Raw genomic sequence first — 14,410 nt, forward strand, 5'->3', positions numbered from 1 at the left:
AGTTTTCCAAATACCCTGCAGGAAAGGTGGAGTTGTGCCCATTTTGCAGAGGGGGAAAACTGAGATTCAGAAAGGGCACGGGATACTCCCAAGCTCCCCAAGGTGGGCTGAAGGAAAAGCAAGATTCCCTCTACAGACTGGGGTGCCCTCTGGTGACCAGACAAAGGGAACAGGGACATCACCACCCGTGAACCCTAGACAGCAACCACAATTCTCTTTGGAGGTATCAGCAGCCTTCCCCAGGATGATGATCAGGCCACCGGAAATATTAAGCAGATAGAGAAGAAATTGCAGTTTTGAAGAAGTCAAAAATGGCCAAATAGCAGCAGTTTCCTGTGGTTCAACTGAAATCAAAATATAAAGAGGAAATCTTACAATTCCAGAAAATTCTGCTACAGCATGAGGAAGAGGAGTCACCATGCAGTCTAAATTGTCTCTGGAAGCAGCTCCCCCCCACACACAGAAGAGGGGGCCGTACAGGGATGCAGCATCTTAGAATCAGTCTATAATGCAATCAATTTTGTACATCCCTGGTGAAACAGCAACATTTATTTAACGTCTTTTATAGAGCAGCTGAGTTTTATCACAAATCACATTCCATTTCTATTCATCTGGGACTCCTTGAAGGCTAAAATGCACTTACTTTTCTCCGAGGAAATTTACCAATTCCTCAGTAAAGACCCATTTGCCTCTGTATGTAAAATTGACACATTTATTGAATATTAAACATTTAAGGTTTTTTTTACCAACCCCCTCCCCACCCACACCTTTTTTTTTTTTTTTTTTTTACACTTTTCCACAAAGCTTCATAGTCATTAGGGAACCTTCCTCAAAGTGGTGAGAAACACATATTTATGGGCAGAAACCAGCCGACATTTAAATTTGGGGCTTTCTGATTACTGGGAAATGGTCAAGTGACATCATAAATTTATAGAGCAGCACCCCATGCCTTTGAGTGGCCTCTCTAAGCTGTGTGCTTTTCCCATCTCTTTGTGGCAGGCTTGGTCACGCGGCAATATCGTGTTGGGTTCTCAACAAAAGTTTTTTTGTCTACACTCATAACATTTGCAGAAGGTAGGGACTGCCTCCCTGGCAATAAATTGTGCTAATTAGCATGAGGGCCTATTAATAAAGCAAGTTTTCTTTTATCCATGTTACTGAATGGTCGGAGACATCAGTTAAAGTGTATGTTCAAGACAATGTCTTTTTCACCGCCGGTTGCAATGTTTTTGTTTAAAAAAAAAAAGTAAGCGGGGATCTGGGCAGCTTATTGTACATGTTTTTGTGTCTTTAACATGAGAGACGGCTGAACTGTTGAACTTAGGTCTTGAATGTTGGGTCCAGATCTCCTACCTCTGTCTCTAAATCAAGGCATTAGGTGGCAGGGGCGGGAAGGCAGTGGGTGCTTTTCCCTAGATTGGGGGGAGAACTGATGGGGTTTGAGGAGTCTCTTCTTCTTCTTCTTCTTTTTTTTTTTTTTTTTTTTTTTTTGAGAGACAGAGTTGTTTCACTCTGTTGCCCAGGCTGCAATACAGTGATGCGATCACAGCTCACTGCATCCTCAAACTCCTGGGCTTAAGCAATCCTCCTGCCTCAGCCTCTTGAGTACCTGGGAACACAGGTGTGCACCACACCTAATTTTTTTTTTAATTTTGTAGAAACAGGGTCTCACTATATTGCCCAGGCTGGTCTTGAACTCCTGGCCTCGAGCAATCCTCATGCCTTGGCCTCCCAAAAGTGCTGAGATTACAGGTGTGAGCCACCATGCCCAGTGTGAGGAATATCTTCCTAATGAGCTTGGGGATCGGGGAGACTCAGGCTCCAGTCCTGACTTCCCTACCTGCCATCTTTGTAACCTTAAGCAAGTGACTTTTACCTCTTGAAGCCTCAGTTTCCTCTTCTATTACATAAGGATAACCACAGTGCCCATGTCATGGGGCTGTGGGCAGGATTAAATGAACTAATCCATGGAAGATTCTGGAAGGAACCCCAAACATCATTGCTCTTGTCCTGGGGACTTTATTCAGTGCCAGGTTTGGATGGGGAAAAAAAGGTTGTTGTGTCCAACCCCCACTCCAGGCTCTATTTTCCCTCCACAGGATCTATCAGGTCACCAGTATATGCTGGGCCACCTTTGGGGACAGGGCTCCTGACCATCAGGGCTGCTTTCCTTTGTTGGGCTGAAACTTGTTCACATGTGACTTCCTTGGCCCACACAGATCTGAACTCCTCTCCCATTCATTCCCCAATTCCTCCAGTCTGTTCACCGGAGGAAATGCCTGCAGGTCCTTTGAGATCCAGTTTTCTCAACCTCGCACATGAAGGGCATTTTGGACTGGAAAATTTCTCATTGCAGGGTCGTCCTGTGCCTTGTAAGATGTTTAGCAACATCTCCAGCCTCCACCCACTAGACGCCAGTAGTACACCCCTAGTTGTGACTATCAAATATATCTTTAGACATAGCCAAATGTCCCCCAGAGGACAAAATCACCCCTGCTTGAGAACCACTGTTCTAGAGTTTTGGGTCTTCCCCGTGCTGGGCTCCTTCAGGATGTCTTATCTCTGTGCCCTCTGGCATGCCAGCACCCCTGTGGCTTATGCATCCAAAATGTTTTCCGTGCCTACTTGGGAGCAGGGCCCGCGTTTACTTGGCACAAGCTAAACCTTGTTGAGAGCCTGAGACCCCAAAAGCAAACATCATGAAAAATCAAATAAAATTGCCCCCACTTTTCCCCCCTGCAGCCATCTCTGCAAAAGACAGGTACCACCGGGACCAAGGGGTGGCTGGGGCTTCCTAGTTGCAGTTTTCATTTTGAAGACAAGGATGATTTTTTTTTAGCGGAGTCTCACTCTTTCACCCAGGCTGGAGTACACTGGTGTGATCTTGGCTCACTGCAGCCTCTACCTTCCAGGCTCAAGCAATTCTCCTGCCTCAGCCTCCCGAATAGCTGGGACTACAGGTACGCGCCACCACGCCTGGCTAATTTTTGTATTTTTAGTAGAGATGGGATTTCACTGTGTTGGCCAGGCTGGTCTCGAACTCCTGACCTCAAGTGATCCGCCTGCCTCAACTTCCCAAAGTGCTGGGATTACAGGCGTGAGCCACCGTGCCCAGCCGAGGATGATTTTTCTGGTAGCGTTCATCTGAACAGTCAGAGCTAACTTTTCATGGAATGGAAGGTCAGTGGTCATTGAAGGTTTCTGACCAGGGCTGGCCCGAGGCCTGGGTTAGCATTTGGGTTTTGCTGTTGATTGTCCTAGTGACGATACCTCTGTGGACCTCAGTTTCCTCATCTCTATAATGGGAATAAAAATATAACTGTCTCAAAGCATTGTTGCTGCCATTCAGAGAATCACCCCATACAAAATGCCCAGCGCGTAGTAAGCAATCAATAAGTTATAGCTGTCATTGTTTGTTCTTATTGTTGTTTGCCAATAAGAAATACACATCCAAAGAATGAGAGTAATTCACCCAAGGTCACTCAGTGGTTCTGTGTAAAAACACTGGGTCGAGCATCTTTTTTCCAGAAACCCTGGGGTTTTCTGCAAAGGTCTGTCTGTGTCTAGAAGAAGAGATTCCAAGATGATCTATTTTATGTGATTCTCACCCCATTAACAGCCTGCAGCTTTGCCAGAATATCCTCTTTTCACTTTCATTTTAAAAACCAGCCAGTGTAATAAATCTTGCCCCGAAATCTCGGCAGCACATCTTGGCTGGAGTGTATGATAAATCTAATATACTGTGGCCTCTCTGTATGAGAGACCCTAGTACATATCTGTATTTTGGGCAGACAGCCCTGTGGTCTGGCAGGAATATAATTTGCTGTCACGTTGACAAGTCCAGCCCTCTGACTGGGTTCATCCTTGTTCCACAACTTCCTTGGCTCAAGGGTGGACTTATGACCCGGTCCAGCCACTCCCCCTCCCCCATTTAAAACACAGAACGTGACTGAGAACTAGAACTGGATTTGCAAGGGACCAGCTGGGATGGAAAGGGAATGGTCACGGGTGGGACACTGGGAGGGAGGGCAGGGGTCCCCACTTTGATCAGTCAATGAATATTTCTTAAATACCTACTATGTGCCTGGCATCATGCCAGGGGCTGGGTACACAGGTGAACAAGACCGAGTCAGGGTTTAATGAGGGAGATGGACATTTATGGGATGGCCGTTTGGAATGAAGTCCAATGATTTATGCCTGTGATGAGGGCTCAGATGGAAGCGCAGGGGCCGTGGGGGCTTGGGGATGTCCTGTGGTGGTGATATCCCAGGGCTGAGCTGGAAGACCGTGTGCATGTGCCAGGTCCAGGAGCGTGTCTGGACTCTGTAACGGGGAATGACAGCAAGGGGGTCAGCGGTCGGCGCAGGGGAAAGCAGGGCTGAGAGAGGCCTGGGAGCAGACTGTGCAGGACCACACAGGGCCTTTTGCTCAAAGCCAGCAGCAGCCAAGGGGGGTTTGGAAGGATTAGTTTACCTTTCAGACGTTCCCTGAGCTACCGCACAGAGATCAGACTGGACAGGGCAATAGTGGGAGCCCTAGAGGGGACCGTGGACTCCCCTCCTCATTGAGGATCCCCTCACAGGGAGCCTAGCAGGACCCCTGGAAGGCCAGGAAACAGTGCCCAAAAGGGTCAAGGACTTTGGAATGCATTTCAGCCCCAGCCCTGCCCCTGACTGACCTGTTTAAATCACTTCCCCTCTCTGAGCCTTGGTTTCTTCACCTGTAAGATGGGCATAATACCAACACCCGCCGTGGAGGAGTATTACAAAGATAAATCAGGAGACCACATATAAGGTGCACAGGATGGGGACACCAAGCACCCAAGAAATGTTCATGATGAATTCTGTTTACTAGCTGTGTGACCTGGGGATGTTTAACTTCACTTCTTTGGGCCTCAGTTTCCAAATCTGCAGAATGGCATTAATAACGATCCTACTTCATGGTGGTGTTGAGAGGATTGAATGGGTTAGAATGGTGCGTGGCACAGAGTTCATTCCGGCTGATCTGAGCCATCGCCGTGGTTGTTGTTGTTGTTGTTGTTGTTGTTTTGCCTGCCCTTTCCTTTAGTTTCGTGTATGACATGATTGGTCAGCAGGGGCCATGGTTTTGTTTTTTTTTTTTGGTGTTGAGTCTCACTCTGTACCCCAGGCTGGAGTGCAGTGGTGCGATCTCAGCTCACTGCAACCTCCACCTCTCGGGTTCAAGTGGTTCTCCTGCCTCAGCCTCCCGAGTAGCTGGGACTACAGGCACATACCACCATGCCACCATGCCCAGCTCATTTTGTATTTTTAGTAGAGACAGGGTTTCGCCCTGTTGGCCAGGCTGGTCTGGAGCTACTGACCTCAGGGGACCTGCCCGCCTGGCCCACCAAAGTGCTGGGATTACAGGCGTGAGCCACCGTGCCCAGCCCCTGGGACTGTAATTTTTACCCTGACCCCGGATCATGCCATGGCACTAGTCCAGATCCTGTCTTGTGCTCCACTGCATCCCTGGCAGAATTCCAGCCCCCATGGGGCCCCCTGACCCCACCCTCCCCCCACCTCACCCTGCTGGGCTTCTGACCTTGTGTCCCTCCTCACCTTGGACAACAAGCTCATCAGAATTAAAGGAGTCTTCGGGAACCCTCCACACCCCTGACTGGTGCCTGCAGGTGTTCCTCTCTACAGTCTCATTCATTCCCTCACTACTTCCTCCCTCTCCTGCTTTCCAAGAAGCAGAATCACCTTCCACTTCTCCAGCGCAGGACATGAGCAGATCCCTCTACAGGGAGGGAAACCAATTCCACGGACCCTTAAGAATTGCTCCTCTCAGCCTGAGTCTGCAGACCTCCACCGAAGAACCCTTGACATGTGGCATTCAAATCTTGGGCTAAGAAATGATCCTTCAGCCGCCAGCTGTCCCTGCAAAGGAGAATTTGGGCCTTTACGACAGGCCGAGAAATAATTTCTTTGGATTCGTGTCAACATAGAAAAGTAAAAGGAAAGGTTAGGGGACACACAGTTTGGAAAACGCTGGCTTTGGCTCTCATATTCTGGAACTTTCTTCCTCCCAGTCTGATAGGAACAAAGGGCCTCTGAGGATCTGGTGGGACTGAGGCCTCCAGTCCTCTCCTCTCCTGGACCTCTCAGCTCCTGCAGCTGTGGTGGCCCCATGCCTGGGTCCCAGGGAAAACCTAGTCCTCCCCCAGCCTCCCCAGACCCAAGGTTGCCTCCCCTCCTCAAAGTGAGAAGGCCGGTGGGCGAGGCTCCCCTGAGTTATTGAGGGAAGAAATATGGCCGAGAACCCTTTCTGTAAAAATAACCTCCCGGGCTCCTCCTTTATGGGTGAGGGAAAGTGCTTAAAATGCTTAGAGGGAATAAACAGCTTTTAATGAAGTTACATTGCCACATAATGGGTATCATAAAATTGCCTTCATACTACAGGGTCCCAGGATGGCATTTATTATCGACTGCGCCGGAATAGTCTTTGCAGAGCTCCGGCAGCTGCAGAGAGAAGAATGCAAAAGTCTCCTTAAATTACCTGATTGAAATAACCAGGCGGAATATTCCGCGGGGCCGCCGCGTGCCAGGGAAGCCGCCTTTGGGGTGGTCTGTCAGAGGCGGTTTGTGCATTCTGAGGAACACAGGAGTTTCATTGCAGCAAAACAGATGTTCATCTTGTTTCTCCATCGGCTGTTTGATGAGAAATTTATTGCTCTTCCGCTGGGCAGGAGGCCCCTCTCGGCTGTGGAGTCTATTAGGCAAGCCAGCAGCTGGCGGGAAGCCAAGGTGAGGCTGTTTTGATGAAACCCATGAAAAGCTTTGGCTTGGAGGCGCCGGTAATAATGCACTGGCTAGACTCTCCTGATTGGGCGATTGATTGGCCTGATTTGATTTATTGATCAATACCCTCAAATTTGGCGTCTGAGAAGCTGCACTAATCTTTAACTGTTGTGAACATCTCTACCTGCTGGAGAATTAGATCCTGATAAGGAATGTATGAAAGGAATCGGGGCTTATCTTAATCACACACCGGGCCCCAGCACTGCCCGAGCCGGCGAGGGCCTCTGTGCACCAGCTCCATTGCCAGGCAGGCCTGCGCAGATCTATAAATTGATGGAATTCAAAGCCTCCAGCATCGATTACCGTTATAACAAACAGTGGTGCACAGAATGTCTGATTATTTTTAGACAAAGATTCTGTTCTCTCAGCAGCAATTTTGCTGAGGCTGTCACTGTGTCAGATGTCTACTGTTGATTGCAATTAGATGCAATACAAAAAAAAATTAAACTATCTGCATCCTCACTCTTATTTCCAGTTATTAAATCTCTCTCTTTGTTTGCCATTTCCTCATGATATCTACAGCTGGATGAAATATTTGGTTGGCAAGAGAAATCCTTGTAATTCATGGGGGGTGCAAGGACCCACTGACTCATCGGATTATCTCCGACGGGTGCACCTAATCTGGGAGGAGGGGAGGCGCACAGGGAGGTGGGGGGACATTTGTTTAAAAATGTGCAAAGGGAAGACTTGATGCAAAGATGTTTCAGGGCAGGGTCGGGGGATAAAAATCAATCTCTGAAGCCCTCCCGAATGACTGTGATGGGTTTAATCTGTGTTCCGTTCCCTTCCACATAGAGCAGGACCTAACTAGAGACATGCCCCCATCCTAGGGCCCCGGGGAGGTTATCCATAGTGATCAGAGCTCAAAGGTTGGCACCACTTGAAATAATTAATTCCTCTAAACAGAGGACCACTTCCACGCTAAATCATACCTGAAGAGTGGGCTCCAGGTAATTGCAGGTATGAACAAATTAGGCATTCTCTTTTACATACAGCCCGGCGGCCAGCATCCTGGCGTTGGGCAAATCCATTCATCATCCTGACGTTCTCCAGTTGATCCGTCTTCTCAGAGCCATTAGCCCCCACGTCCTTGACGGTGGAACAGTTGTAAACTCGAGACCATCCGTGGGGTGGCTGAGACTGACAATTCATTACGCAGTTGGATGGAGAAGGCGGCTCAGGTGACAATGCTGAGGCCTCCCAGTTCCCAGAAGCTGGCTCCGCTTGGAATTGGCAACTGCTGGCTAATTTTAGAACAGTCATCGTTGGGGATGGAGAAGGAGGAGGAGGCAGCTTTGACTTTGGGGTCAGACGAGCGGGTCCTGCAGAAATTGGCTGAGCTCAGTAACACATTGATCACCAAGGCAAGTGGTCATCTTCGTTCAGGTGGGCATGGGACAGTGGTCCCTGAGCCAGCCCAGGATACATTCAAGTGCCCCCAAAAGGACATTCCAGGGGAGCCAATGAAGGGACTCATAGCTCCCTGGTGACAGGGAAAGGGCCAGTCTCGTTCAATAATCGGAATAGCACCAGCCATTTATTCGCCACCAACTGCCCCGGATCCTGTACCAAGCATTTGACATGCACCTTCCTCCTTCAATCTGCCCGGGTACCTTGGGAGGAGGTTATAATTCTACCTGTTTGGGAGATGCAGAAACTGAGGCTCAGAGGCCTTGAGCAACTTGTCCAAGGTCACACAGCTAAGAATGGGTGAGGCTGGAAGTCAAATTCAGGTCAGTTTCTGAAGTTTATGTGCTTCACCCCAGTTGAGAACTCAATGAATATTTGTGGAATGGCTGGATGAATTACTGAATGAATGAATGATATGTGAACATCCAGTCGGGACTCAGCTGGGCTCTGGGATAGCCAAGAATGACAGGGTCAGGCTGTCCCTCAGGCAGGCCTGGCATTTGGGCCTCCAAGCCTGCTGGGGGTGGCTCCTGCTTCATCTTCATGGGCATAGAGCTGTGCCCAGGCTCCAGTCCCCTCAGTTGGAGGAGCCAGTTTAACATCACCAGAGAATTCTGTGCAAGGAAATCTCAGGGTCTGAGGGGTCTGGCAATAGGCAGAAGCAACACCGGGGTCTCAGAGGCAGGGTGAGGTTGTTGTTTACCTGGCTGGGAGCCAGATTGCTTCGAGCCAGGATAGCATGGGGGTTAAACGCTCAAACCCTAAAGTCAACAGACCTTGGTTTGAATCCCAGCCTCATCACATTCTTAGCTTTGTGTGACCTTGGGCAAGTGACTAAACCTCTCTGGGCGTCACTTCTCCATCCTGCAGGTAGGGCTGATGACAGTGCATCCCTGTCCAGGTGACTGTGAGATAGAATGAGGTCATACACATCAGTGCTCACATAGTGCCTGGCGCGTTCTGTTTGGTGGCAGTAATTATTGGCCTAGGGCATTTGGGGAGTCCCACCACCCCCTGCAGATATTTGTGACTAACAAGCTTATTTAGCTCAAGGAGAATTCCAGGTCAAGGCAAAGAGGTATCAAGTGACCTCCTTGAAGTTACTGTGAGACTTTTTCCTTGGGTGGCTGGCACCCATTGCTACCTATTGTCACCTATTGCCACCCTCTTCTGGACACACTTCAATCGTCCGTATCCTCTGCCTTTTCCCTTTTACATCCTCGACATCCTGACCCTCATCCTCGGCATGGCTGCAGGAAAGAGGCAGTCCCTTGCGGGGTTGATGGGAGCAGCCATCAATGTGGTCCCTTTGAGGGGCAAGCTGGCAACATCTATGACATTTACATAGGTGCAGCTGTGTGACCCAGTCCTTCTTTGTCTAAGAACTTATTCTTCAGATACACCCATATGTGACTACCAAGATGTACATCTCAGTGTGTTGGTGTGGCATTAATAGTAAGAGGAAACCCTGGAAAAAACCTAAGTATCCATGAGTCGGGGATTGGAAGTAACCTGTTTCCACAAGGTGGGGACTGGAAGTAAACTAAGTGTCTATGAGTGGGGAATTGGAAGTAACCTGAGTGTCCATGAGTAGGGGATTGGAAGTAACCTAAGTGACTGAATAGATAAGACTCATCCATACAAAATATTCTGCAACCATAAAGAGGCAGAAGGATGCTCTTGATGTACTGATAAAAAGGAGCAGACAATAAATTCTATGAAAATGGCACACTGTCAGCCTAGGCAACATGGCAAACCTTCTCTCTACCAAAAAAAAAAAAAAAAAAAAAAAAAACAGAAAAATTAGCTGGGTAAGGTGGCACGCACCTGTAATCCCAGCTACTTGGGAGGCTGAAGTAGTAGAATCACTGGAGGCCAGGAGTTTAAGACTGTGGTGAGCTATGACCACACCACTGCACTACAGCCTGGGCAACAGAGTGAGACCCTGTCTCAAAAGAAAAGAAAATGACACATTGCGGCTGGGTGCGTTGGCTCATGCCTGTAATCCCAGCACTGTGGGAGGCCGAGGCGGGCAGATCACGAGGTCAGGAGATCGAGATCATCCCGGCTAACACAGTGAAACCCCGTCTCTACTAAAAATACAAAAATTAGCCTGGCATGGTGGCGGGCACCTGTAGTCCCAGCTACTCGGGAGGCTGAGGCAGGAGGAGAATGGGGTGACCCAGGAGGCGGAGCTTGCAGTGAACCAAGATGGCGCCACTGCACTCCAGCCTGGGCTACAGAGTGAGACTCTGTCTCAAAAAAAAAGGCACATTGCATAACAAGGTATGGGATATCCTCTGAGTAAAACAAAGGAAAGAAAGATTCTGCTTCTGTATTTGCTTGAATATAAGTAAAGTATCTTTAGAAGAACACAGAATAAAGGTGGGCACCTCTGGAGGAAGAAGACTTTGATGTTGAATTCTTCTGTGCTGTTGCCATTTTTATCCTATGCATATCATACTTTAGCAGTGTCAAAATGGTACTGTTTTTAAAATGAGTATCATGGAAAGAGAACCTGGATTCTTGAAGTCAAATTTGGAAGCAAGTACTGGCTCTGTTATTTACTGGAGGGGTGACCTTCGATAAGCAATGGCAGCTCTCTATGCCTCACTTTTGCCATCTGTAAAATGGTGGTCACCCAGAGCAGGGACAGGTGTCGGCGTAATCGTGTACTGAAACCGCTGAGCCAGCCTGCGCTTCACCCACAGTTCCTAGCTGTTCTTATCGCCAGCTGCAGGCTGGAAGGAGGTGCTGTTTCTGGCTGTGCTAGGCCCAGAGCCCTTCGTGGGGGTGTCCAGCACTGGCTGAGTAGGGTGCTGAGGACAGAGGTCTGGCCCTGAGCCCCGAGGGGACCCCGGCACACACTCAGTGCAGCCCCTGAGCCCATTAGCCTGGGTAGGCTCAGTAATGGAGCCCTCCCAAGAGGCCCAGCCCCTACAGTCACAGCTCTTCTAATGAGGCCCAGTCCCAGCTCAGCCTGGCCGAGGGGGACAAGCTGGGGGCTTGACAGTACCTGCCTGTGTCAGCTCCACGGTCCGAGGGGGCTGCCTGCAATGTAGGAGCTGCTAGGCAGTAGTTGGTCTCTCATTCTCCCTCTCTCTCTCATACCTCATCCCTCCCTCCCTGTCTTTCTGTTTGTCTCTGTGCCTGTCTCTCTCTCCCCCTCTCTTTCTGTATTTCTCTGTCTTTCACTCTGTCTTCAGACTCTGTTTTCTGGTCCTCTCTCTTTCACTCTCACTCTCTCCCTCCCTCCCTTCCTCCTCCTGCCCTCTGTTCTGCCCTCGCCCCCTTTCTGTCTCCGTCTCACTAGATTTCGCTTTCACGTCCTCTCTCGGCATTTCTCCTCTTTCCCACTCTCGGCATCCATCCTGCCTTCCCTTCCCTTCTCTCCTTTCCCACATCAGCTATCTAAGGGCTGCCTTAGTTGTCACTGTGGATGCTTAGTCAGGTGACACTTATGGGGACCAGCTGTGTACTGAGCCAGGTGCTGGGAATAGGAGGCAGGAATGTGGTCCACCCAGGCCCCTGCCTTCAGGGGTGGACACTCCATGGGGGACGCAGGTGCTGAGAAAGTGGCATGAGGGCCTTGTGGGGAAGGCTAAGTTGCTATGACGTTAAGCTGAGACCCGAAGCATAAACTAGGCGGGGAACAGGGGAGCGGGAAGGGCACACGCGCAGGTCCTGAGGTCGGGTGGGGAAGAGGGAACTGAGCACATTCTGGCCACACCCGGCCACCAGGACCCATGGTTGCTGAGAGAGAGAAGGGCGACTCTGTGGCGTGAGGCTCGCAGCTGCACAGAGGCAGGGTCCCTGGGCTCGCCTTCAGCGCCGCCATCTGCCAGCTGTGTGACCTTGTATGACCTTGCCACTCTGAGCCTCTGTTTCCTTCTCTGCGAAGTGGAGATGGTGATGGTGCATACCTGAGAGGGTCGCTGAGACATGTGCAGGTATTAAAATCGATATGATGTGTGTATGTTTTTTTTTTTTTTGAGACAGAATTTCACCGCATCACCCAGACTGGAGTGCAGTGGTGCAATCTCAGCTCATTGCAACCTCCACCTCCTGGGTTCGAGTGATTCTCCTGCCTCAGCCTCCTGAGTAGCTGGGATTACAGGCACGTGCCACCATGCCTGGCTAATTTTTGTATTTTTGGTAGAGATGGGGTTTTGCCATGTTGGCGAGGCTGGCTTCAAACTCCTGACCTCAAGTGATCCACCCACCTCGGCCTCCTGAAGTGCTGGGATTACAGGCATGAGCCACTGTGCCTGGCAGCATGATGTATATTTTTACGCTCTAAGTATGAATGTGCTTAGAACTTGCCAGTGCAGAGCTGGGGCTATCCAGATGTTCACTTATGCTACCCTTGGTGGCGTTATTCGTGCTTCCTGCTCACAGTGCAATGCCAGGCCTCCATATCACCCAGCAGCCTGCAGGTTCAGTGACGCCGGCATCAGGACCCATCCTTCCCTTGCTCGTGACTCCTGTAGCATTGGGGCCTTTGCACCTGCTGTGCCCCCTCATAACGGACTCTTGCCCAGAGAGTCACATGGCCTGAGTCCCCGCTCGTTTAGGTCTTTGCCTAAAAGTCACCTCTTCCATGACCCTCCCCTGGCCCCCCCACTGCTCTGTGTGAAATTGCAGCTCTCTACCACCACCTCCCCCTACTCCTGACCCCTTTCCCTGCTTGAGTGTCCTCCCTCCCCATGTCCACACCTAAACGCATTTCAGTGGCTCATGTGGCTCATAGGTTGGAGACCTGGCTGGGGATTGGGGTACCCTGGCCTTGGGGCCTGCCACCCCTGGGCACCCCCGTGCCACTGGTGCCTGGAGTTGGCCTGTCTGTGCACAACAGGCCGGCTGGGTCTCCTGAGGTGCCACTCAGTCTCCTGAGTGGCATCTGTCCATGCAGAGCTCCAGCCTGGGGTTTCTGTGGCCCCCTGTCCAGGTGACCATGGACTGGCCCACTGGCCTGCTTCTTCACTGCTGGCTTTGGCCCACAGATGTCTGTGCTGGGGGCAGGGGTGATGGGGCTGAGAATGGGCCTGGAGTGCTGGCTCAGATCTGTTGAAGAGCCAGGTCCAACAGAGCCCCAGGTGGGCACAGCTGCCAGGCACCCTGCACCCCAGAGCCATCGATCACAGGCTTGCACTGAGTCACTCTGTTTTTAAACTTGGCCTATCTCATTTTCTTACGTCCCTCAAGGACATATTTCGAAAACCTTCAGTGGGCTGGCCAGGCTGTGTGGCATAGCCCTGGAAATCGATGACAGCTGAGTGGCAGGGGGGCTCAGGAATACTATGCAAATGCATCATTTGGCTCTCCAGGCCACTTCTGGCCTTGTTCCTTCAGCAAGCATTTATTGAGCACCTACTGTGTGTACTTTGTGGAATGGATTTTTCTACGTCAATAGACAGGTTACTAACACAAGTGTCTGCAACATCAGAAATCAAGAGCAGGTGAGAAATGGCGGAGGAAGAGGACGATGCAGTGTGGAGGAGGAGCAGGTGCTGTGTGCCAGGTGCTGCCCTGGGCTGGGACATGGCAAGAGAGACACGGACCCTGCCATCAGCATTGGGCAGGAGAGACTGCTGGACACCAGCAAAGGTGCTATCAAAGCAGCGTGCAGAGCTCTGTGAAGGAAGCCACCAGGGGCCGAGGGAGAGGAAGAACAGGGGTCCCATGTAGCAGGATGGCCAGGGAAGGCCAGCAGGAGCCAGTTATAGGAAAAATCTAGGGAGAAAGAGGTCCAGGCATGGGAACAGCAGGTGCAAAGGTCCTGAGGTAGCCAGATGCTTGGCCAAAGAACGTCAGAGTGGTTGGAACCCAGAGAGCGGGGGGGAAAGGAGGGCAGAGAAGTGGGCGGGGCCAGGTCACACTCAGCTTGCTGGCCCTGGGGAGCATTTGGTGCCCCAGCCTCAGGAGCAATGGGAAGTCACCCCTCTTGTCACGGCAGGTTTTAGGCTGCGGAGCGGTAGGATCTGATTCATGTTTGTGAACGCACCCATGGTTGTTGGAAGAGAGGGCAGCAGGAAGACCAGCAAGCAGTCTCCTGCACCAGTCCAGGTGAGAGAGGATGGGCTTTGTGGCCGTAGAGACAGCAAGATGTGGGCAGATTCAGGAGTATTTTGGGCAGAAGGAAAAAAGCTGATCCTCCCTCCCTTTACCCCCAGAATATT

The 14,410-nt window shown here is 50.6% G+C and overlaps 1 protein-coding gene across 7 annotated transcripts in view, besides 1 other annotated feature; it reads left to right on the plus strand.

Annotated features, from left to right (window-relative positions):
- The window catches only part of CUX2 (cut like homeobox 2), a 316,390-nt gene that overhangs the window by 140,409 nt on the left and 161,571 nt on the right, over positions 1-14,410 (plus strand). The window lies entirely within an intron of this gene.
- Positions 8,068-8,568: an enhancer, noted in NCBI's record as "H3K27ac hESC enhancer chr12:111620445-111620945 (GRCh37/hg19 assembly coordinates)". NCBI's record gives its function as "activates a minimal SCP1, AML or CMV promoter by ChIP-STARR-seq in naive H9 embryonic stem cells {active_cell/tissue: H9 hESC(naive)}" and the evidence as "EXISTENCE:reporter gene assay evidence [ECO:0000049][PMID:30033119]".

The sequence above is a fragment of the Homo sapiens genome, chromosome 12 (assembly GCF_000001405.40).
Source record: "Homo sapiens chromosome 12, GRCh38.p14 Primary Assembly".
In the NCBI taxonomy this organism is placed as follows: domain Eukaryota; kingdom Metazoa; phylum Chordata; class Mammalia; order Primates; family Hominidae; genus Homo; species Homo sapiens.